General features: G+C 38.7%; 1 long non-coding RNA gene across 1 annotated transcript, besides 1 other annotated feature; it reads right to left on the bottom strand.

Moving 5' to 3' along the window:
- Positions 1-7,657: 7,657 nt before the first annotated feature.
- On the bottom strand, positions 7,658-15,494 carry LOC107987051 (uncharacterized). Its single transcript, XR_001746631.2, has 3 exons — positions 12,076-15,494; positions 8,279-8,421; positions 7,658-8,172 (listed from the first exon to the last, which is right to left on the bottom strand). It is a non-coding gene; the product is annotated as an uncharacterized LOC107987051 (long non-coding RNA).
- Positions 22,905-23,404: an enhancer, noted in NCBI's record as "H3K4me1 hESC enhancer chr9:17539955-17540454 (GRCh37/hg19 assembly coordinates)". NCBI's record gives its function as "activates a minimal SCP1, AML or CMV promoter by ChIP-STARR-seq in primed H9 embryonic stem cells {active_cell/tissue: H9 hESC(primed)}" and the evidence as "EXISTENCE:reporter gene assay evidence [ECO:0000049][PMID:30033119]".

Raw genomic sequence — 23,794 nt, 5'->3', positions numbered from 1 at the left:
ATGGTTACAATTTGGTAAGAGATGCAGCTGGAATTCAAACTTTGCTCTTTGTGTTTCTAAGGTCTCTTCGCGCACCTCAGAGCTGGGTGCCAGGACGGAGGCTTGTCCTCTTGGAGAGAGAAAAGCAATAAATGCAAGCTAGAAAAGAAAATTCTGCCAGGGGCTAAATTGATGAAATACAAGAATGAAGCTTTCTGGTGGTCCTGCATGATCAAGAATAGGAGTTGAGGTGGTCCTGTTGGGGTGGATCACATGTGCTTTAGAGATTTTCCCTAGATGGCTCTTGTGAAGAGCAGTTGCTGCTGTGGATCATCTCCGTATTGATGTGATTTCTATCCACCCAAGCTCGTCTACAGCATGGAATGAACGACTTTGAAATTTTTATTGTTATTATTATTTGGTGTTTTTTTTTTTTTTTTTTTTTTGAGACAGAGTCTAGCTCTGTCGACCAGGCTGGAGTGCAGTGGCGCTATGTCGGCTCATTGCAAGCTCCGCCTCCCAGGTTCACGCCATTCTCCTGCCTCAGCCTCCCAAGTAGCTGGGACTACAGGCACCCGCCACCACGCCCGGCTAATTTTTTTGTATTTTTAGCAGAGACGGGGTTTCACCGTGTTAGCCAGGATGGTCTCGATATGCTGAACTCGTGATCCGCCCGCCTCGGCCTCCCAAAGTGCTGGGATTACAGGCGTGAGCCACCGCGACCGGCCGACTTTGAGATTTATTATTTTACCAGCCCAAATTCCATGGCCCCTGCTATACAGAGGATTCCTCTGTAGGAATTTATTTTTCTACTCTATCATTGATGAACACTTGTGCTGCTTTGGGTTTGGGACTGTTATGATAATTCTGCTGAAACTTTCTTGTATGCAACACTTTCGGCATACATGTGCAAGCACACCTGTTGGGTATTTACCCAGGAGTAGAATTTCTCAGTCACAGGATAGTGTACGTTCAACTTCAGGATATAATGCCAAGTGCCAGGATATAATGTCAGTTTTACAAAATGGCTGCCCTTATTTACACTTTCATCAACCAGTGTTTGACTCTTCCATATCCTCACTGGAACTTGGTATTGTCAGTCTTTTTGATTGGCCATGCTAGCAGGTGTGTAGTCGTATCTCATTATGATTTAATTTTGTATTCCTCTGCTTGTTGATGAATGTGTAGGTATCTTTTCATACTTTTACTGACCATTTGAAAATCCTCTATTGCGAAGGAGCCATTCAAATCTATTGCCCATATTCCTATTGGGTTGTCTTTTCCTGTTGATTTGTAGACAATCTAGATACAGTCCAGAATCAACTCCTTTATCAGTTACATATGTCACAGGGAATTTTTCTCTGCTCCATTAGTCTATTTGTCTTTGTTGAAGGATGAGACTGGCCTAGCCTGGGCATGATGACTCCCAGCAATTTGGGAGGCTGAGGCAGGAACAGTGCTTGAAGCTAGGAGTTTGAGACCATCCTGGGCAACAAAGCAAGTCCCTGTCTCTACAAAAAATTGTAGAGACAATTTTTTGTACAGGCATGGTGGCATGTGCCTGTATCCCAGGTACTGAGAAGGTTGAGGCGGGAGGATTGCTTAAGCCCAGGAGTTTGAGGTTGCAGTGAGTGGGAATAGACCACACCGCTCCAGCCTGAGTGACAGAATGAGACCATGTCTCTAAAACAAATTAAAATGTAAAGATTGAGACTGACCTATAATTTTCCTTTTTCATTGTGTCTTTATAGGTTTTGGTATCTAAATTATACTGGATTCATAAATTGTGTTGGAAGTGTTTTTTCTTGTCTTGTTCCCTGTAAGAGTTCACATAATATCAGTGTTAGTTCTTCCTAAAATGAATGGTAGAATTCAGTACTAATGGCATCAAGGCCCAAAATTTTCTTTGAGGTACACTTTGTTTTTGTCTTTGTTTTTTTGAGATGGAGTCTTACTCTGTCACCTAGGCTGGAGTGTGGTGGTGCAATCTCAGCTCACTGCAATGAGGTAGATTTTTAATTTATAGATTTACTATCTTCACTAGTTGCAGAACTATTTTATTTCCCCTTATATCATATCTGTTCTATTTTCAAGGAATTTCTAAATTTTGTCTAAATTTTCAAATATATTGGCATAAAGTTAATTATATTTTCATATTTTTAATGTCTATAATGATGTTGCTCTCTTCATTCCTGACATTGATTATTTTTTACTTCTCTTTCCTTTTCTTGCTCAGTTTCAGCAGGTGTTTCTCAGATTTATTAGTTTCTTCAGATAGGCAATATTTGGCTTATTGATTTTCTCTATTTTTTTATTTGTTTTCTATATCATTAATTTCTCTTATCTTTATTATTTCCTTCCTTTTACTTTAAATTTGACTTGATATTATTTACTAACTTCTTGAAATAAATGGTTAGCAAATTGATATTTCAGACTTCCATCACATCTAAAGTTATAAACTTCTTTCTAAGCATAGTTTGAGCAATATCCCACAGGTTTTAAGAAGAAATAATTTTTCTGTTCAAAGTATTTTCTAATTTCTTTTATGATTTCTGCTTTGACCTGTGAGTTACATAAAAGAATATTGCTTAATTTCCATGTATATGAAAATTTTGTAGATATCTCTTTGTAATTGATTTCTAGCTTAATTGCATTGTGGATCTAGAAAATACTATGTTTAATTTGAATCTTTTGATACTAGAGATTTGCTTCAGGGACCAGCATATGGTGAACTTCTGTAAATGTTCTGTGTGTTTAGCTTTATTTTGTTTAATTTTTGCATTTCCACCTTTCTATGATTCTTATATTTTCAGTATGTCTTTTACAAACCTCATAAAATCTCTTCAATCCATTCTGAAATGCTTTTTCTTTAATTGAAGCATTTAGTCTATTTATATTTATTTAATTACTAATGTACTCGTGTCTAAGACTATAATCTTACTGTGTATTTTTTTTGCTCTACCTGATTTATGTTTCTTTTCCTTGATTTTCTTAACGTGTTTTAGATGGACTCAATGTTTATTATTTCATTTTTTCTAATATTAGGTTCAAAGTTACAAATAAATCCTTTTCTATTCTTTTAATAATTACCCTTGATATTGCAAAACATATTTTTAACTGATTAGAATGTCATGTTTATTGATATTGTTCTCTTGGACAAGGCAAGGACTCTAGCATAATTTAACTCCATTTACCCAACTTCTGACTTATGTCTATAAGACGCTTTTATTATTGTTTCATACAGCCAATATTCATGCAGATTGATTCATAAATTTCCCCTTCTATTGCTCTTCATTTTTCCTAGGTCTCCCACCTTCCATCTGTGAACATTTTTATTCTGCCTAAACAATATCCTTTGGTGTTTTCGTAAGAATAGGTTTGCTGGTGATAAATCCACTGTTTTTGCTCATCTGAAAATGTCTTCATTTCAATTGCTTTTTTTGAGGATGAAAACAGAATTTTAGATTGGCAGTTTTTTAAAGTACTTTAAAGATATTTTCTCATTATCTTCAGGCTGCCATTATTTTTCATACAAAGTCAGCTCACTCTAATTTTCATAATTTGTCTTCATTCCTCCTTCACTCCGCCTCCTGGCTGCTTTTAAGATTTTTCTCTTTGTTATTTGTTTACAGCCATTTAATTGTGATGCATAGGTATGGATCTCTTTTTATTTATCTTATTTATAGTTTATAGGACTTTTTAGTCTGTGTCTTGATTTCTTTCACCAGTGTTGGAAATTTCTTAGCCATGATCTGTTCAATTAGAACTGTTTCTGTCACGTTCTCTCTAGGACTAAAATTACTCATAGCTTAGATCTTTTTCACTCTATTCTGTAGGTATTTTATCTTCCCCTTTGTATTTTTCACCCTTTTATCTCTCCATGCTGCATTCTGGTTTATCTTTTGTTAGCTCTGCTTTTAGGTACGTTCAAATTTTTGTTTGAGCTAGTATATAAAAACATATTTTATATACTGAGCTTTTATGCAATGGCCTTGATAAATCCATTTGCTAATTGTAATAGTTGATCTAAAGATTATTTTGGATTTCTATGAATGCAAACATTTAGTATGCAAATGGGGTGCATGAATGGCAGTTACTGTTCCCTTTCCAATGTTTTCTTTCTTTTTCTTGACTTACAGCACTGTAACAGTGGAAATAGCAAGCATCCTTTATTTTTTTAATCTCAGAAAGATGTTTTCAATATTTTCTCATTAAGTACTCTGTTTATTATCCTGTTTTCTTGGTAGCTTTTATTCTATTTAAGAAATTTCTATCTACTACTAGTTTGCTAAGAGTTTATTATTAACATGGTGGAATTTCATCAAATATTTTCGCTGCATCTATTGATATAGTCAAACTTTTTTCTCCTTTATTGTGTGGTTGAGTGATTTTCAAATATCTGAATAACATTGCATTCCTGGGAAAACTACAACTTGGTTGTATTGTATATTTACATTTTATGTATTGATGGATTAGATTTACTAATATTTTGCTTAGGATTTTTGCAACTAAGTTCCTAAGAGTAATTGGCCTATCATTTTCCTTTCTTGTAATATGATTTTCAGGATTTCTGGTTGATTCTTTCAGACATCGAAGGCATAAGTCTGGAATCATCTTAATATGATCTTAGGACTAGAAATGATTCGAAACTGGGCTACAGTCACAGAGAGGGCCAGAATAAATATAAAAAAAAAATTCGATTGACATTTAAGTAGGCAAAATATAACTAGATGGAAAACTACTGAAAAATTAGGCTTATGTTATTAATGATATCTTTAAAATAATCAACATCTTCCTAGTTCTATAGCCATGACCCATAAACCACACTGGCCTGGTGGACACTGGCTTTCACCCAATTATTTTGTAGAAAAAGTAGCTAATCGGTCTGATCCAGAGTAATAAATCACATCCCCCAGCCCACTTCCACGCAGGAAAAATTAGAAAGTATATATGGCAAATGCCATATTCACCAAAAACTCCTTTTGTTTAGATTTAGTCTTATTTTTACATGTTTAAACAGGTGTTTCCTTTTAATAAGACGTTATCTAGAAACAAGAGAAGACTAACAGTCTGTACAAATGGAGAATGTTAAAATAAGCTTCAAATAAATCATTCGGGAAGACTCCCTGCCAGATGATCTATAATGTATGCCACTTTTCCTCCTTTCCAGGGGAGAAGCAGAGACATGGCGCCTGAGTAATAAATATATTCACAGAAAACATCGCCGAGTCCTTAACGATCTTGAGAGTGAAAAATGAGGCTTTAAAACAGCATTGTGAACAACACAAGAAACATCAAAGTAAAGCAAAAAGTATCTTGGGAGGGAAAAGGCAATGACTGAATTCCCAATATTACAGCATGTTGTTACAACAAAAATATTTGTATTTCCACAGAGCTCTAATATGGTGGAATAGAAGGATCTGTTCAAGCAGTGACCAATACAAAAAAACACCCTAGAAGGTAACTGAAGAACATACGCTGTAATCTGTTTTATACATGTCTTATCATCAGTGAATATCTATTGAGCTCTCAGTGAGCATTTATGCCTGCAAACAGTTGCATTAAAAATTACAGAAATGATCCAGTCCTTTCCCACAGGACATCCCATTCCAAAAGAGCAAGATGTACAACTCATTCTCTTTCTATGGGCAGATTCTACTTTTTCTTTTTCTTCACCATGGTGATTCCCAGCCTCACTTTACCAAATGAGGATTAAATGGATGGGATTCAAATCTGTCTTTTAAGAAATGGAGAAGAAAGCAAGCAGGACTATGCACAAAAAGGTTGTTCCAACTCCATAGAATTTAAGGAATCATGAATTGTAGATGGAGACCTCGATGCAGCCAGGGATCATGAAATCAAAGGCCAGGGATGCAGGCCAGATCACATCCACAAAGAGATAGGATCTCTCCCCTTATTCATGAAATCTGAGGCCTTCTTTTGTTTGTTTCTGTAGACCCACGAGTTCAGAGAAATGTTTCTCTACTTAAAGAAAATCCACTGGCAAGTCTTATGATAAATGGCAGCCACCCTTGACCTCAGTGTGGGGAGTCCATAGAGCAGAGCTGCAGGAGAAGATCCAGGTTTCCTGGAGTCAGAAATGTATACAATTGTGGAGGCCTCTTTAAGAAAACAACACAGAATTGCAAATACAAAATTGGGTCAAGGGCCTTGAAAGATCAGGCTTTAGCATGTTAGCTTTCTTATCTTCAGACAATATGTACCTCTGCTTGGGGAGGCTGGTACAGCGTCTCAAGAGGGCAGCCTCTCCTCAACCCAGCTGACTGTTGCCCTTAGGGAAACTGGCCAAACTAGCCAGATCTGATATTCTAAGAACACCCAGAAATCTGGATGTCTATGAGAAATTCCCCCCATTTAAAAACATTGGCAAAACGTTCAAGGTTTAAAGAAACAAAACAGGAAGACCTGTGTAAGACTCAACCTTTGGTCTTCACGTTGGCACCTCTGGCAAATTGAATTCTGCAGTAACTGAGGCCCGAGTTAGGTTGTTGCCCTAATCCCTCAGGTGCACCTCTCTGCTGGACACCCTCGTGGAGGCTGGTTTAACTTAAGCAGTCCAACCACAGAAGCTCTCGTGTGAAATGCATCCAGCTTAGACAGTGCTTTTCAGTGAGGAGCTTGAGGAGAGGGCCCAAACTTAAGGGAAATGTTAGAACACAGTGGCAGAAGGAGATGACAGATTGAATGTGGGAGGAGAAAAACGACTTCCAGACCCCTGTCTTTGAAAATAGATTAAATCATGGACCCTCATACAGTGATTAGACAGCTGGGACACGTGGAAGGCTTTAAGGCAGCATTTCTGAAAACGTGCTCCACAGACCATCTTATTCTGGAATACCTGGTGTGCCTGTGAAAATGCTGATCTCTGGGCCCAACCCCGAAAGGAGCGTGTAAGTGCCTGTGAGTAGGGCTCAGGAATATGCACTTTGACAAGCACCACGTGATTCTTAGGCACAGTTACAGTTAAGAAACACAAGTGGGAAGCTCTTTTCTTTTTTTCTTTCTTTTTTTTTTTTTTTTTTTTAGTCTTGCCAAGAGCTGCTTACGGGACTGGCTGCGTATGAGAAAGCTTCCAGACTTCCAGTTATCTGAGCCGGTGCCCCTGGGAGACACTGGCAAGTTGGTCCCAGTCATTCACTGCCCTCTTCCTGGCCCACACATTTTTAGTTCTGAACCTCAATGGCTCTTTAAGCTGCCAAGCAGAATGAACCACTGAGTCTTTAAGAACACCACCTAGGGTAAATGGGCCAAGCCCCAGCTGATTTGACCCTCTGACTTCCTCCTTGACATTCTTGCTGACACATTGCAACCTCAGCTGTATTTTGTTGACAATTAGCAGATGAAGTGTCCTGAAAACCCAAGGTCTGCTTTATATAAGTTACAAAATGCTTACCAATGACAGTATTAATACCAGGCCTTCTTAACAACATATTCTTGATTACAGTAACTTTGCCTCTGAGTCTTACGTGAAAGAAAAATCTGCAGGTGTTTCTGTGCCACAGTGAGCACGTATGTCCATGCGGCAATACCCTAAGGAAACTCCCTTCTCCGGAATATCTCAGTTGACCTTGCTCTGTATTTCCTTTAATTAACATAAATAGTTGTGACATTATTTCTGTGTATACATTCTTCCCCCATCAGAATTTTAACTCAAGAGTAAAGAGTACATTTTTATTTAATAAGAATTCAATATCAACCAATTGGGAGGTAAAAAAGTAAGACATGATTAAGGCCTAGGAGGAAGAGGAGATAATGTGAGATATTAGGGAACTGAAAAAGCCAAGTTACAACCTGACAAAACCAGACACTAAGGAGGGGACCATCTGGGTCACTAGGCTGCTTAAACAACCTGAACCTGAGACACAACACAGTCCACATACAAACATTATCCCACACTGGTGGAGTTCAATCTTCAATATCTTTCCCTCACCCCTACCATGGCTTACCATGCTCTCCTTGCCTCCTTTGTTATCTTTTCTCTGGACTCATCTATTAGCCCTTACTGGTTAATGGTTACCTCTCTGTTCTAAGCTTTACTTCTTGTCTCCTGTTTTCCTCTTTTTCTGTCTTCCCTGGATAATCAGAGGAGGAACTGCCAGGCACCATCTCCTAAATCAACTTGCTCATGAGCAGGGGCCAAATGAGGATGTGTGGAAAGTGACCAGAGGAAACCTACAGAATGGAAAGGAGAGACAGGAAGGATACAGCATGGGTGTAAGATCCACCCTCACAACATCTATATGCCAATCAAGAAATAATAATAATAACACCATATTACCTTGGGGTATTCATTTCCATGAGGTGAAGGATGACTAGTTTTGATGTCCTGTTTTTGGATTAGCATTTTGAGTAAATGATGCTCCAAGGTCATAGTTTTCAGGCAGGCCACGAACCTACTAAAATGGTACCAGCTCTCTGATTCTGTTTATAAAAGTAAAGAAAATACACAGTAAACTCAGACTTTTAAAATAAACCATCCTTGCCTTACTACTGTCTTTTCTAAGTCATTTCTTTAAAAAATATATAAGTATTTACTTTCACCTGTTCCCGCTTCTTCAACTCTCTGCCATTGCTTAGTACTGATGTCAACGAGTAACTATTGTCAGTTTCCTGACTGGCCTCTGTCCATTATTGTCTGCCTTCAATCTATCCTCTGCAATGAGACCAGAGTGAATTTCTAAACTCTAACCTGATGAAGTCATTACATCCCACATTTCACCATTGACTAATGATATGAAGAGTACTATATCTTTTAAGGAAATTGAATCTTTGGTTAAAATCTTCTCTCTGAGAAAACTTCAAGTTTCTATAGTATCACTGGTAAGCTATTCCAAAAGATCTTACACAAATTTTTCTGAATTTTAATTTTTTTTTTAATCAAGAGGCCTGGCTGCACTAACTCATGACTGTAATGCCAGCACTTTGGGAGACCAAGGCGGGAAGATCACTTGAGCTCAGGAGTTCCAGACCAGCCTGGGTAACATAGTGAGACCCTGTATCTAAAGAAAGAAAGAAGAAAGAAAGAAAGAAAGAAAGAAAGAAAGAAAGAAAGAAAGAAAGAAAGAAAGAAAGAAAGAAAGAAAGAAAGGAAGGAAGGAGAGAGAGAGAAAGAAAGAAAGAGAGAAAGAGAAAGAAAGAAAGAAAGAAAGAAAGAAGGAAGGAAGGAAGGAAGGAAAGAGAGAGAGAAGGAAGGAAGGAAGGAAAGAAAGAAGGAAAGAAAGAAGGAAGGAAAGAGAGAGAGAGAGAAAGAGGAAGAGAGAAAGAAAGAGAAAGAAAAAAGAAAGAAAGAGGAAGAGAGAAAGAAAGAGAGAGAGAAAGGGGAGGGGAATGGAAGGGAGGAGAGGGGAAGGGAGGAGAGGAGAAGGGAGTAAATTAGGAGGGAAGGGAAGGGAAGGGAAATTAAATTAGCCAGGCATGGTGGCATGTGCCTGTGGTCCCAGCTACTCAGGAGGCTAATGGGGGATGATCACTTGGGCCAGGGAGATTGAGGCTGCAGTGAGCCATGATCACGCCCACTACACTCCAGTCTGCATGACAGAGTGAGACTCTGTCTCTAAATGAACAAATAAATACATGCATAAATACAATTAGGGGGTTGGGGAGACATTTCCCAACAAGTGTTATGAGACTGGGATGACCTGAATGTCAAAACCTGGTAAGAAGGGGAAATTACAGTTTCATTTCTCTCATGAACATAGATGCAAAAAGTCCTAAACAATATATTAACAAATAAAATCTAGCAATAAATAAAAAGAATAATATATGACCACCAAATTGGGTTTGTTCTAGGAAACGAGGTTGGTTTAACATTAAAAAAAATCAATTAACCATATTAAGAGACAAAAAGGTGAAAAAATAATTGTTTTAATGAATACAGAAAAATAGGGTTTAACATTTATGATGGAAAATTATTAGAAACAAGAAATTATTAGCTAACTATGAATAGGACACAACTTTTAAATCTGATAAACTATATCAACAGAAATTACAAAGCAAATATCAGTTATTAAAAATGTTTTCCTTGAGAATGAGAATAAGACAAGAATTTCTGCTGTTACAACATTTATTTAAAATTTTATTGGAGGTACTGCTGGCCAATACAAAAGGCAAGATAAAAATATAAAGGGTAATAAAGATTGGAAAATATGAAATGAAACTTTAATTTTTTACATATAAAATTATTGTATACCTAGGAAACAAAAAATAACCTTCAGATAAATTAATGTTCGTTGGAATTAATAAGTAAATTTAGGAATACGGGTGATGAAAAGTTAATAGATAAAAATAATCTTAGTTTTATACACCAGCAATAAACAGCGAAATTCTAAAAGAAAAAAAGACGTTGTGTTTACTATCATCAACAACCATCAAATGCACAGGAATAAATCTAATAAAAGATGTGCAAAAAACTCCAAAATAAAGCTATCAATACTGCTGAGAAAAATTGAAGATTTAAACAGAGAGACATAACATATACATTAAAAGAGATTATTCACAGAAAAGACAGCCACAAAGTTGAAGATTTTGAAATTCATATACTAAGGAAGGCCATATTCAGAAAATGTAAAATATCTTAAAAATAAATGAGAAAAGCATGTAAATCCCAATTTCAAAAAATAGACAAAATTTAAAATATGCAAGATAATAAGTTCTCTAGAACTTATTATCTGCTGTACAATATAGTACCTACAGTTAACAGTACAGTATTGCACACTTTAAAATACGTTAAAAGAATAGATGTCATGTTATGTGTTCTTAATACACACACACACACACGAACATACAGAAATTTTTAGAGGTGATGGATATATCTAGTACCTTGATTGTGGTGATATCATAGATATACGGTCTAGTAGTACCTTGTTGTGGTGATATCATGGATGTATGCATTTGTCCAAACTAATTGAAAAGTATATATTAAATACGTACAAATTTTGTATATCAATTATATCTCAATAAAGCTTTTAAAAATGGGCGAAAGACTTGAATGGGCACATCAATTATGAACATATACAAATGGTTCATAAGTTTTTGAAAGGTTGCTCAACCTTAGTATTTATTAGAGGAATAAAAATACAATTAGATACCACTAAAAATTACAGAATGGCAAAATTAAAAAGTGTAAAAATAACATGTTCATGAGAATCTGTAGCAATTGGAACTCTTTTTTTTTTTTTTTTTTTTTTTTTTTGAGACGGAGTCTTGCTTTATTGCCCAGGCTGAAGTGCAGTGGCGTGATCTCGGCTCACTGCAAGCTCCGCCTCCTGGGTTCACGCCATTCTCCTGCCTCAGCCTCCCGAGTAGCTGGGACTACAGGCGCCCACCACCACGCCTGGCTGATTTTTTTGTATTTTTAGTAGAGCCGGGGTTTCACCGTGTTAGCCAGAATGGTCTCTGTCTCCTGACCTCGTGATCCGCCCACCTCGGCCTCCCAAAGTGCAGGGATTACACGCGTGAGCCACCACGCCTGGCCAGCAATTGGAACTCTTACATATTGCTGGTAAGAGTGTAAACTGGTACAATCACTTTGAAAACTAGCATCCTCCATCTACATTCTTTAAGACCCAGCAATTCTACTCACAGTTATATAACTAACAGAAATGCATATATATGTACATAAAAAGCATGCATAAGGATGTTCATTGCAACAATATTCATAATAGCCAAAAACAGAAAACAATCAAATTTGTCAAGAGTAAATTTGTATTAATAAATCGCGGTATATTTGTATATTCATAGTTTATAAGACTAAATCCTGAATATCCCAAATATAATGCTGAGTGTAAAAAGCCAAACACACAAAAAAGCACATACTATAAATTCTCATTTCTATAAAGTTCAAAAACAGGAAATAAGGATATGTTGATAGGTCAGAATAGCAGTGACCTTAGGGAGGGGCATATGGATGTTTATAAGGTGCTGAAAATGTCCTACTTCTTGCCCTTAGTGATGGTCCAATGGATGTGATCACTTTCAAAAACATCATCAAGCTGTATGCTTATGCTTTTTGTACTGTCCTATGCGTTCATTATATTTCATTAAAAAGAAAAATACCAAATGACCTTATTTGATTACCTGAAGGTAATTTATGGCTTCAGCAAATGTCGTGGGTGGAGCTGAGGGAGTAGAAGCCAGGTTGGAGGAGGTTGAAGGGTGAATGAGTCATGCAAAACTGAAGACAGGGTATGCAGACAACTCCTGAGAATTTTGACTGTGGATGAAAATAGAGAAATAAGGCAGAAATGCAGAGGGTCAAGGAGGGTTTCTTGCCATGATTATCTGGTTTTGTTTTTTAAAGTGAAAGAGTAAATTAGAATATGCTCATTTGCTGACACTTCATCCTACCTGCATCAACATATTTGATGAAGAAAAGGCAGTCTTGAGTAATAGGATTCTCCAAAGAAACCATCATATACACACACATACACATGCGCACGCGTACAAACACACACACACACACGTTTATTATTTATAGGAATTTTCCTATGTGATTATGGAGGCTAAGTATCATGATCTGCTCTCTGCAAGCTGGAGAACTAGAAAAGCCAGTGGTATAATTCAGTTCAGGTCCAAAGGTCTGAGAACCAGGGGTTCTGATATCTGAGGGCAGGAGAAGATGGATGTCCCAGCTCCAACAGAGAAAGTGAATTCGCCCCTCCTTTGCCTTTTTCTTCTATTAGTATTTAGGCCCTCAATGGATTGCAGGATGCCCACTCCCACTGGTGGGGGTGATCTGCTTTACTCAGTCTACTGAGTTAAACGCTAATTTCTTCCAGAAACCCCCTCACAGACACACCCAGAATTAATGTTTTATCAGCTATCTGTGCATCCTTTAGTCCAGTCAAATTGACACCTAAAATTAACCGTCACAGGTAGTCAGGGACAGTAGGGCAGTTGGCAATGAGCCAGGGAAGAAATTGCCAAGAATGTGGGAAACGAAGGATGTTATGATCCGAATGTTTATGTTCCTCCAAAATTCCTAAGTTGAAACCTGATCCCCAATGTGACAGTATTACAAGATGAGAGCTTTTGGGAGGGGTTTAGGTCATGAGGCTCCACCCTCGTGAATGAGATGATTGCCTTTATAAGAGAACCCAAAAAGCTAGCCCCTTCCACCCTGTGAGGACATTGTTAGAAGGTGCGATCTATGAAGCAGAAAGCATGCCCTCACCAGACACAGCAACTTCAGGTGCCTTAATTTTGGACTTCCCAGCCCTCAGAACAGTGAGCAATAAATTTCTATTGTTTATAAGCCACGCAGTGTATGCCATTCCTGTTATAGCAGCCCAAGTGGGCTAAGACAAAGGGCTAGCAGAGAACAGAGGATTGATGGGATTCAGTTTAGGCAGCTCCAGTGATTTATCAGAAAGGAAAGTCTGGTTGAAACAACCTCTTCTGAGGGTTTTCGCTTCAACAGCCTATTAAGTTTCCTTATCTTTCATTCCATGATCCAAGTTTATTTAAAAGTAAACTAAAGACAAAACCAGAGAGTTGGGGCATATTTTTGTAAAAAGATCATTTCCCTGGAGGTAAAAAGTTATTTTAACGGGAGGAGGATAGGAAACTCTCACTGCTCTTGCTTAACTTGAAGTTTTCCAAGGATGGACCCATAGACTGTGAGCTCCATGAAGACTGGGCCCAGGGGTTTGAGCTAACTATCATATCCCCACTGGAAAATAGTAAGTGCTCATTAAATACTTGTTGAGAGAATGATTTAAAGCCCTACAGTTGCTCAGTTTACAGGCAGGGAATCTGGCTGTAGTCATGATGGGTAAACTGCTGTGACTCTTGGGTCCAGGTGTTAAACCCTCTACCCTGGTGGGGATCCATCCTCTCTTTCTGAGTATAGGATCTCCCCACCTGTCTTGTAAGTACCCTAGGCCTCCAGCCTTTAGAGGTGGTTCTTAGCGATCATTACAGATCACTGGGGAGAATGATTCACCATCTCAACTCCCAGCTAACTCATGTTCAAATGTTTTAGCTAATGCTCTTCTGTGTGAATATTTAGGTAGATTACAGAGGTGAACTTCTGCTCTATTTTATAGGTCGTATGTTAAATAACATCAGCTCATTCTTATAAATAATTTTCACAGCACTCCTGAACTAGAATGAAGTTATTATAAAGCATTTTGCCTACTAATTATAAAAATAATAATATTTATCAAGCATTTCTAACATGCCAAGCACTGTGCTAAGCATTTTACTCACATTAATCTGTATTTTATTTTAAGTTCCAGGATACATGTGTAGGATGTGCAGGTTTGTTGCATAGGTAAATGTGTGCAATGGTGGTTTGCTGCACTTATCAGCCCATCACCTAAGTATTAAGTCCAGCATACATTAGCTGTTCTTCCTGATGCTCTCCCTTCCCCCTGACCCCTCCCCTAACAGACCCTACTTGTGTGTTGTTCACCTCCCTGTGTCCATGTGTTCTCATTGTTTAGCTCCCACTTACAAGTTAGAACATTCAGTGTTTGGTTTTCTGTTCTTGTGTTAGTTTGTTGAGGATAATGGCTGCATCCATGTCCCTGCAAAGGACATGATCTCATTTCTTTTTATGGCTGCATAGTATTCCATGATGTAGACGTACCACATTTTATTTATCCCGTCTATCACTGATGGGCATTTGGGTTGATTCCATGTCTTTGCTATTGTGAATAGTGCTGCAATAAATGTAAGCATGCATGAATCTTTATAATAGAGTGGTTTCTATTCCTTTGGGCATATATCCAATGATGAGATTGCTGGGTCAAATGGTATTTCAGGTTCTAGGCCTTAGAGGAATCACCACACTATCTTCCATAATGGTTAAACTAATTTACATTCCCACTAACAGTGTAAAAGCATTTCTATTTCTCCACAGCCTCACCAGCATCTGTTGTTTCTTGACTTTTTAATAATCTCCATTCTGATTGGTCTGATGGTATCTCACTGTGGTTTTGATTTGCATTTCTCTAATGATCAGTGATGTTGAGTTTTTCTTCATATGTTTGTTGGCCACATAAATGTATTCTTTTGAGAAATGTCTGTTTATGTCCTTTGCCTACTTTTTGATGGGGTTGTTTGCTTTTTTTTCTTGTAAATTGGTTTAGTGCCTTGTAGATTCTGGATATTAGACCTTTATCAGATGGATAGATTGCAAAAATTTTCTCCCATTCTGTAGGTTGTCTGTTCACTCTGATGATAGTTTCTTTGCTGTGTAGAAGCTCTTTAGTTTAGTTAGGTCCCATTTGTCAATTTTGCTTTTGTTGCAATTGCCTTTGATGTTTTAGTCATGAAATCTTTGCCCATGCCTATGTCCTGAATGGTATTGCCTAGATTTTCTTCTAGGTTTCTTCTAAGGTTTTCATAGTTTTGGGTTTTACAATTAAGGTTTTAATCTATCTTGGGATAATTTTTGTACAATGTATAAGGAAGGGGCCCAGTTTCAATTTTCTACAGATGACCAGCCAGCTCTCCCAGCACCATTTATTAAGTAGGGAATCCTTTCCCCATTGCTTGGTTTTATCAGCTTTGTCAAAGATCAGATGGTTGTAGATGTGTGGTGTTATTTCTGAGGCCTCTGTTCTGTTTCATTGGTCTATATATCTGTTTTGGTACTAGTACCATGCTGCTTTGATTACTATAGCTTTGTAGTATAGTTTGAAGTCAGGTAGCATGGTGCCTCCAGCTTTGTTCCTTTTGCTTAGGGTTGTCTTGGCTATACAGGTTCTTTTTTGGTTCCACATGAATTTTAAAATACTTTTTTTTCTAAATCTGTGAAGAATGTCAATGGTAGTTTAATGGGAATATCATAGAATCTATCAATTACTTTGGGAAGGATGGCCATTTTCATGATATTGATTCTTCCTATCCATGAGCATGGAATATTTTTCATTTGTTTTTGTCCTTTCTTATTTCCTTGAGCAGTGGTTTGTAGTTCTCCTTGAAGAGGTCCTTCACATCCCTTGTTAGCTGTATTCCTAGGTATTTTATTCTCTGTAGCAATTCTCAACAGGAGTTCATTCATGATTTGGCTCTTTGCTTGTCTATTGTTGGTGTATAGCAATGCTTGTGATTTTTGCATATTGATTTTGTATCCTGAGACTTTGCTGAAGTTGCTTATCTGCTTAAGAAGCTTTTGGGCTGAGATGATGGGGTTGTCTAGATATAGAATCATGTAATCTGCAAACAGAGACAGTTTAACTTTCTCTCTTCCTATGTGAATACGCTTTATTTCTTTCTCTTGCTTGATTGCCCAGGTCAGAACTTTCAATATTATGTTGAATAGGAATGGTAAGAGAGTGCACCTCTTGTGCTGGTTTGCAAGAGTAATGCTCCCAGCTTTTGCCGTTTAGTGTGATATTGGCTGTGGGTTTGTCATAAATGGCTCTTATTATTTTTAGGTATGTTCTATCAATACCTAGTTTATTGAGAGTTTTTAACATAAAGGGCTGTTGAATTTTATTGAAGGCCTTTTCTGCATCTATTGAGATAATCATGTGGGTTTTGTCTTTAGTTCTGTTTACATGAAGAATTACATTTATTGATTTGTGTATGTTAAACCGGCCTTGCATCTTGGGGATGAAGCCAACTTGATCGTGGTGGATACACTTTTTGATGTGCTGCTGGATTCGGTTTGCCCGTATTTTACTGAGGATATTTGTATTGATATTCATCAAAAATATTGGCCTGAAATTTTCTTTTATTGTTGTATCTCTACCAGGTTTTGGTATCAGGATGATGCTAGCTTCATAAAATGAGTTAGGGAGGAGTCCCTCCTTTTAAGTTGATTGGAATAGTTTCAGAAGAAATGGTAACAGCTCCTCTTTGAACCTCTGGTAGAATTCAGCCATAAATCCATCTGATCCTGGGCTTTTTTTGTTGGCAGGCTATTTATTACTGCCACGGTTTCAGAACTTGTTATTGGTCTATTCAGGGATTCAACTTCTTCATGGTTCAGTCTTGAGAGGGTGTATGTGTCCACGAATTTATCCACTTCTTCTAGATTTTCTAGTTTATTTGCATAGAGGTGTTTATAGTATTCTCTGATGATTGTTTGTATTTCTGTTTACTCACATTAATCTTATGAAATATTATGACTATCCTCAAAACAATTCTATGAGGCAGTACTATTGTCTAAATTTTACATATGAGGAAACTGAAGCATACAGGTATTAATGCAAGTTTCCTGAGGCCATACAGAGAGTAAGAGGCAGGGCCAGGTTTTGTTCCCTGATAGTTTGATTCTGGACTCCGAAGGGGTGGGGCATCCTCAAGTTTAGTCCTGACACCTAAACCCCTCTACCACAACTGATCTTATATTTCCAATGTCATATCAGTTGCTTGAAGCTTAAGCCCCCTACTGGTCCTGGCAATAGGCTCTCTCTATAGACCCAAGAACTCACAATGGATCCTGTCTCAAGGTGACCAGGTGAGTCCTACTAGTAGTATACTCTCTTGTTATTAGTTCCTAGAATTCATCTAAGAATGGCAGTTCAGGGGGCATGATGCCTCTAACTCTAAACTTTGCCATGATCAAAAGCGCATACTGCAAACATTAGGTTCTGGTCTTAGTGTTTGAAAGAACTTATTTGCTCTCATACCAAAAACAAGCGTTGACTTTTCCTCTTAATCATTTGCCAAAACAAAAGTTAAAAACACCAACCACCAAAACATTTTAAAATGGACATGTAATACTTTTAAAATGAAAGAATACTTACTTCTCCCAAAAGAAATATTAGGTTCCTCAAAGAATACAGGAGCTTGTTAGACTTTAATGGTCTCCCTGAGCATATAACTTTTTTTTTTTAATATACTTTAAGTTTTAGGGTACATGTGCACAATGTGCAGGTTAGTTACGTATGTATACATGTGCCATGCTGGTGCACTGCACCCACTAACTCATCATCTAGCATTAGGTGTATCTCCCAATGCTATCCCTCCCCCCTCCCCCCACCCCACAACAGTCCCCAGGGTGTGATGTTCCCCTTCCTGTGTCCATGTGTTCTCATTGTTCAATTCCCACCTATGAGTGAGAATATGCGGTGTTTGGTTTTTTGTTCTTGTGATAGTTTACTGAGAATGATTTCCAATTTCATCCATGGCCCTACAAAGGACATGAACTCATCATTTTTTATGGCTGCATAGTATCCCATGGTGTATATGTGCCACATTTTCTTAATCCAGTCTATCATTGGACATTTGGGTTGGTTCCAAGTCTTTGCTATTGTGGATAATGCTGCAATAAACATACATGTGCATGTGTCTTTATAGCAGCATGATTTATAGTCCTTCGGGTTTATATACCCAGTAATGGGATGGCTGGGTCAAATGGTATTTCCAGTTCTAGATCCCTGAGGAATCGCCACACTGACTTCCACAATGGTTGAACTAGTTTACAGTCCCACCAACAGTGTAAAAGTGTTCCTATTTCTCCACATCCTCTCCAGCACCTGTTGTTTCCTGACTTTTTAATGATTGCCATTCTAACTGGTGTGAGATGGTATCTCATTGTAGTTTTGATTTGCATTTCTCTGATGGCCAGTGATGGTGAGCATTTTTTCATGTGTTTTTTGGCTGCATAAATGTCTTCTTTTGAGAAGTGTCTGCCCATGTCCTTCGCCCACTTTTTGATGGGGTTGTTTTTTTCTTGTAAATTTGTTGGAGTTCATTGTAGATTCTGGATATTAGCCCTTTGTCAGATGAGTAGGTTGTGAAAATTTTCTCCCATTTTGTAGGTTGCCTGTTCACTCTGATGGTAGTTTCTTTTGCAGCGCAGAAGCTCTTTAGTTTAATTAGATCCCATTTGTCAATTTTGTCTTTTGTTGCCATTGCTTTTGGTGTTTTAGACATGAAGTCCTTGCCCATGCCTATGTCCTGAATGGTAATGCCTAGGTTTTCTTCTAGGGTTTTTATGGTTTTAGGTCTAACGTTTAAGTCTTTAATCCATCTTGAATTGATTTTTGTATAAGGTGTAAGGAAGGGATCCAGTTTCAGCTTTCTACATATGGCTAGCCAGGTTTCCCAGCACCATTTATTAAATAGGGAATCCTTTCCCCATTGCTTGTTTTTCTCAGGTTTGTCAAAGATCAGATAGTTGTAGATATGCGGCGTTATTTCTGAGGGCTCTGTTCTGTTCCATTGATCTATATCTCTGTTTTGGTACCAGTACCATGTTGTTTTGGTTACTGTAGCCTTGTAGTATAGTTTGAAGTCAGGTAGCGTGATGCCTCCAGCTTTGTTCTTTTGGCTTAGGATTGACTTGGCGATGCGGGCTCTTTTTTGGTTCCATATGAACTTTAAAGTAGTTTTTTCCAATTCTGTGAAGAAAGGCATTGGTAGCTTGATGGGGCTGGCATTGAATCTGTAAATTACCTTGGGCAGTATGGCCATTTTCACGATATTGATTCTTCCTACCCATGAGCAGGGAATGTTCTTCCATTTGTTTGTATCCTCTTTTATTTCCTTGAGCAGTGGTTTGTAGTTCTCCTTGAAGAGGTCCTTCACATCCCTAGTAAGTTGGATTCCTAGGTATTTTCTTCTCTTTGAAGCAATTGTGAATGGGAGTTCACTCATGATTTGGCTCTCTGTTTGTCTGTTGTTGGTGTATAAGAATGCTTGTGATTTTTGTACATTGATTTTGTATCCTAAGACTTTGCTGAAGTTGCTTATCAGCTTAAGGAGATTTTGGGCTGAGACAATGGGGTTTTCTAGATATACAATCATGTCGTCTGCAAACAGGGACAATTTGACTTCCTCTTTTCCTAATTGAATACCCTTTATTTCCTTCTCCTGCCTAATTGCCCTGGCCAGAACTTCCAACACTATGTTGAATAGGAGTAGTGAGAGAGGGCATCCCTGTCTTGTGCCAGTTTTCAAAGGGAATGCTTCCAGTTTTTGCCCATTCGGTATGATATTGGCTGTGGGTTTGTCATAGATAGCTCTTACTATTTTGAGATACGTCCCATGAATACCTGATTTATTGAGAGTTTTTAGCATGAAGCGTTGTTGAATTTTGTCAAAGGACTTTTCTGCATCTATTGAGATAATCATGTGGTTTTTGTCTTTGGTTCTGTTTATATGCTGGATTACATTTATTGATTTGCGTATATTGAACCAGCCTTGCATCCCAGGGATGAAGCCCACTTGATCATGGTGGATAAGCTTTTTGATGTGCTGCTGTATTCGGTTTGCCAGTATTTTATTGAGGATTTTTGCATCAATGTTCATCAAGGATATTGGTCTAAAATTCTCTTTTTTGGTTGTGTCTCTGCCCGGCTTTGGTATCAGGATGATGCTGGCCTCATCAAATGAGTTAGGGAGGATTCCCTCTTTTTCTATTGATTGGAATAGTTTCAGAAGGAATGGTACCAGTTCCTCCTTGTACCTCTGGTAGAATTCGGCTGTGAATCCATCTGGTCCTGGACTCTTTTTGGTTGGTAAGCTATTGATTATTGACACAATTTCAGCTCCTGTTATTGGTCTATTCAGAGATTCAACTTCTTCCTGGTTTAGTCTTGGGAGAGTGTATGTGTCGAGGAATGTATCCATTTCTTCTAGATTTTCTAGTTTATTTGTGTAGAGGTGTTTGTAGTATTCTCTGATGGTAGTTTGTATTTCTGTGGGATCGGTGGTGATATCCCCTTTATCATTTTTTATTGCGTCTATTTGATTCTTCTCTCTTTTTTTCTTTATTAGTCTTGTTAGTGGTCTATCAGTTTTGTTGATCCTTTCAAAAAACCAGCTCCTGGATTCGTTAATTTTTTGAAGGGTTTTTTGTGTCTCTGTTTCCTTCAGTTCTGCTCTGATTTTAGTTATTTCTTGCCTTCTGCTAGCTTTTGAATGTGTTTGCTCTTGCTTTTCTAGTTCTTTTAATTGTGATGTTAGGGTGTCAATTTTGGATCTTTCCTACTTTCTCTTGTGGGCATTTAGTGCTATAAATTTCCCTCTACACACTGCTTTGAATGTGTCCCAGAGATTCTGGTATGTTGTGTCTTTGTTCTCATTGGTTTCAAAGAACATCTTTATTTCTGCCTTATTTCGTTATGTACCCAGTAGTCATTCAGGAGCAGGTTGTTCAGTTTCCATGCAGTTGACAGGTTTTGAGTGAGATTCTTAATCCTGAGTTCTAGTTTGATTGCACTGTGGTCTGAGAGATAGTTTGTTATAATTTCTGTTCTTTTACATTTGCTGAGGAGAGCTTTACTTGCAAGTATGTGGTCAATTTTGGTATAGGTGTGGTGTGGTGCTGAAAAAAATGTATATTCTGTTGATTTGGGGTGGAGAGTTCTGTAGATGTCTATTAGGTCCGCTTGGTGCAGAGCTGAGTTCAATTCCTGGGTATCCTTGTTGACTTTCTGTCTCGTTGATCTGTCTAATGTTGACAGTGGGGTGTTAAAGTCTCCCATTATTAATGTGTGGGAGTCTAAGTCTCTTTGTAGGTCACTCAGGACTTGCTTTATGAATCTGGGTGCTCCTGTATTGGGTGCATATATATTTAGGATAGTTAGCTCTTCTTGCTGAATTGATCCCTTTACCGTTAAGTAATGGCCTTCTTTTTCTCTTTTGATCTTTGTTGGTTTAAAGTCTGTTTTATCAGAGACTAGGATTGCAACCCCTGCCTTTTTTTGTTTTCCATTTGCTTGGTAGATCTTCCTCCATCCTTTTATTTTGAGCCTATGTGTGTCTCTGCACGTGAGATGGGTTTCCTGAATATAGCACACTGATGGGTCTTGACTCTTTATCCAATTTGCCAGTCTGTGTCTTTTAATTGGAGCATTTAGTCCATTTACATTTAAAGTTAATATTGCTATGTGTGAATTTGATCCTGTCATTATGATGTTAGCTGGTTATTTTGCTCGTTAGTTGATGCAGTTTCTTCCTAGTCTCGATGGTCTTTACATTTTGGCATGATTTTGCAGCGGCTGGTACTGGTTGTTCCTTTCCATGTTTAGCACTTCCTTCAGGAGCTCTTTTAGGGCAGGCCTGGTGGTGACAAAATCTCTCAGCATTTGCTTGTCTGTAAAGTATTTTATTTCTCCTTCACTTATGAAGCTTAGTTTGGCTGGATATGAAATTCTGGGTTGAAAATTCTTTTCTTTAAGAATGTTGAAGATTGGCCCCCACTCTCTTCTGGCTTGTAGAATTTCTGCCGAGATATCTGCTGTTAGTCTGATGGGCTTCCCTTTGAGGGTAAACCAACCTTTCTCTCTTTCGGCCCTTAACATTTTTTCCTTCATTTCAACTTTTGTGAATCTGACAATTATGTGTCTTGGAGGTGCTCTTCTCGAGGAGTATCTCTGTGACGTTCTCTGTATTTCCTGAATTTGAATGTTGGCCTGCCTTGCTAGATTGGGGAAGTTCTCCTGGATAATATCCTGCAGAGTGTTTTCCAACTTGGTTCTATTCTCCCCATCACTTTCACGTACACCAATCAGACATAGATTTGGTCTTTTCACATAGTCCCATATTTCTTGGTGGCTTTGTTCATTTCTCTTTATTCTTTTTTCTCTAAACTTCCCTTCTCGCTTCATTTCATTCATTTTATCTTCCATCGCTGATACCCTTTCTTCCAGTTGATCGCATCGGCTGCTGAGGCTTCTGCATTCTTCACGTAGTTCTCGAGCCTTGGTTTTCAGCTCCATCAGCTCCTTTAAGCACTTCTCTGTATTGGTTATTCTAGTTATACGTTCTTCTAAATTTTTTTCAAACTTTTCAACTTCTTTGCCTTTGTTCTGAATTTCCTCTCGTAGCTCGGAGTAATTTGATCGTCTGAAGCCTTTTCTCTCAGCTCGTCAAAGTCATTCTCCAACCAGCTTTGTTCCGTTGCTGGTGAAGAACTGTGTTCCTTTGGAGGAGGAGAGGCGCTCTGCTTTTTAGAGTTTCCAGTTTTTTTGCTCTGTTTTTTCCCCATCTTTGTGGTTTTATCTACTTTTGGTCTTTGATGATGGTGATGTACAGATGGGTTTTCGGTGTGGATGTCCTTTCTGTTTGTTAGTTTTCCTTCTAACAGACAGGACCCTCAGCTGCAGGTCTGTTGGAGTACCTGGCCGTGTGAGGTGTCAGTCTGCCCCTGCTGGGAGATGCCTCCCAGTTAGGCTGCTTGGGGGTCAGGGGTCAGGGACCCACTTGAGGAGGCAGTCTGCCCGTTCTCAGATCTCCAGCTGCGTGCTGGGAGAACCACTGCTCTCTTCAAAGCTGTCAGACAGGGACATTTAAGTCTGCAGAGGTTACTGCTGTCTTTTTGTTTGTCTGTGCCCTGCCCCCAGAGGTGGAGCCTACAGAGGCAGGCAGGCCTCCTTGAGCTGTGGTGGGCTTCACCCAGTTCGAGCTTCCTGGCTGCTTTGTTTACCTAAGTAAGCCTGGGCAATGGCAGGCGCCCCTCCCCCAGGCTCACTGCCGCCTTGCAGTTTGATCTCAGACTGCTGTGCTAGCAATCAGTGAGACTCCGTGGGCGTAGGACCCTCCGAGCCAGGTGCGGGATATAATCTCCTGGTGCGCCGTTTTTTAAGCCCATTGGAAAAGCCCAGTATTCAGGTGGGAGTGACCCGATTTTCCAGGTGCTGTCTGTCGCCCCTTTCTTTGACTAGGAAAGGGAACTCCCTGACCCCTTGCGCTTCCCGAGTGAGGCAATGTCTCGCCCTGCTTCGGCTCACGCACGGTGCGCTCACCCACTGACCTGCGCCCACTGTCTGGCACTCCCTAGTGAGATGAACCCGGTACCTCAGATGGAAATGCAGAAATCACCCGTCTTCTGCGTAGCTCACGCTGGGACCTGTAGACCGGAGCTGTTCCTATTCGGCCATCTTGGCTC

Source organism: Homo sapiens, chromosome 9 (genome assembly GCF_000001405.40).
Source record: "Homo sapiens chromosome 9, GRCh38.p14 Primary Assembly".
NCBI lineage: Eukaryota > Metazoa > Chordata > Mammalia > Primates > Hominidae > Homo > Homo sapiens.
The sequence above is the reverse complement of the archived record's forward strand: the minus strand, read 5'-3'. Positions and strand labels throughout refer to the sequence as shown.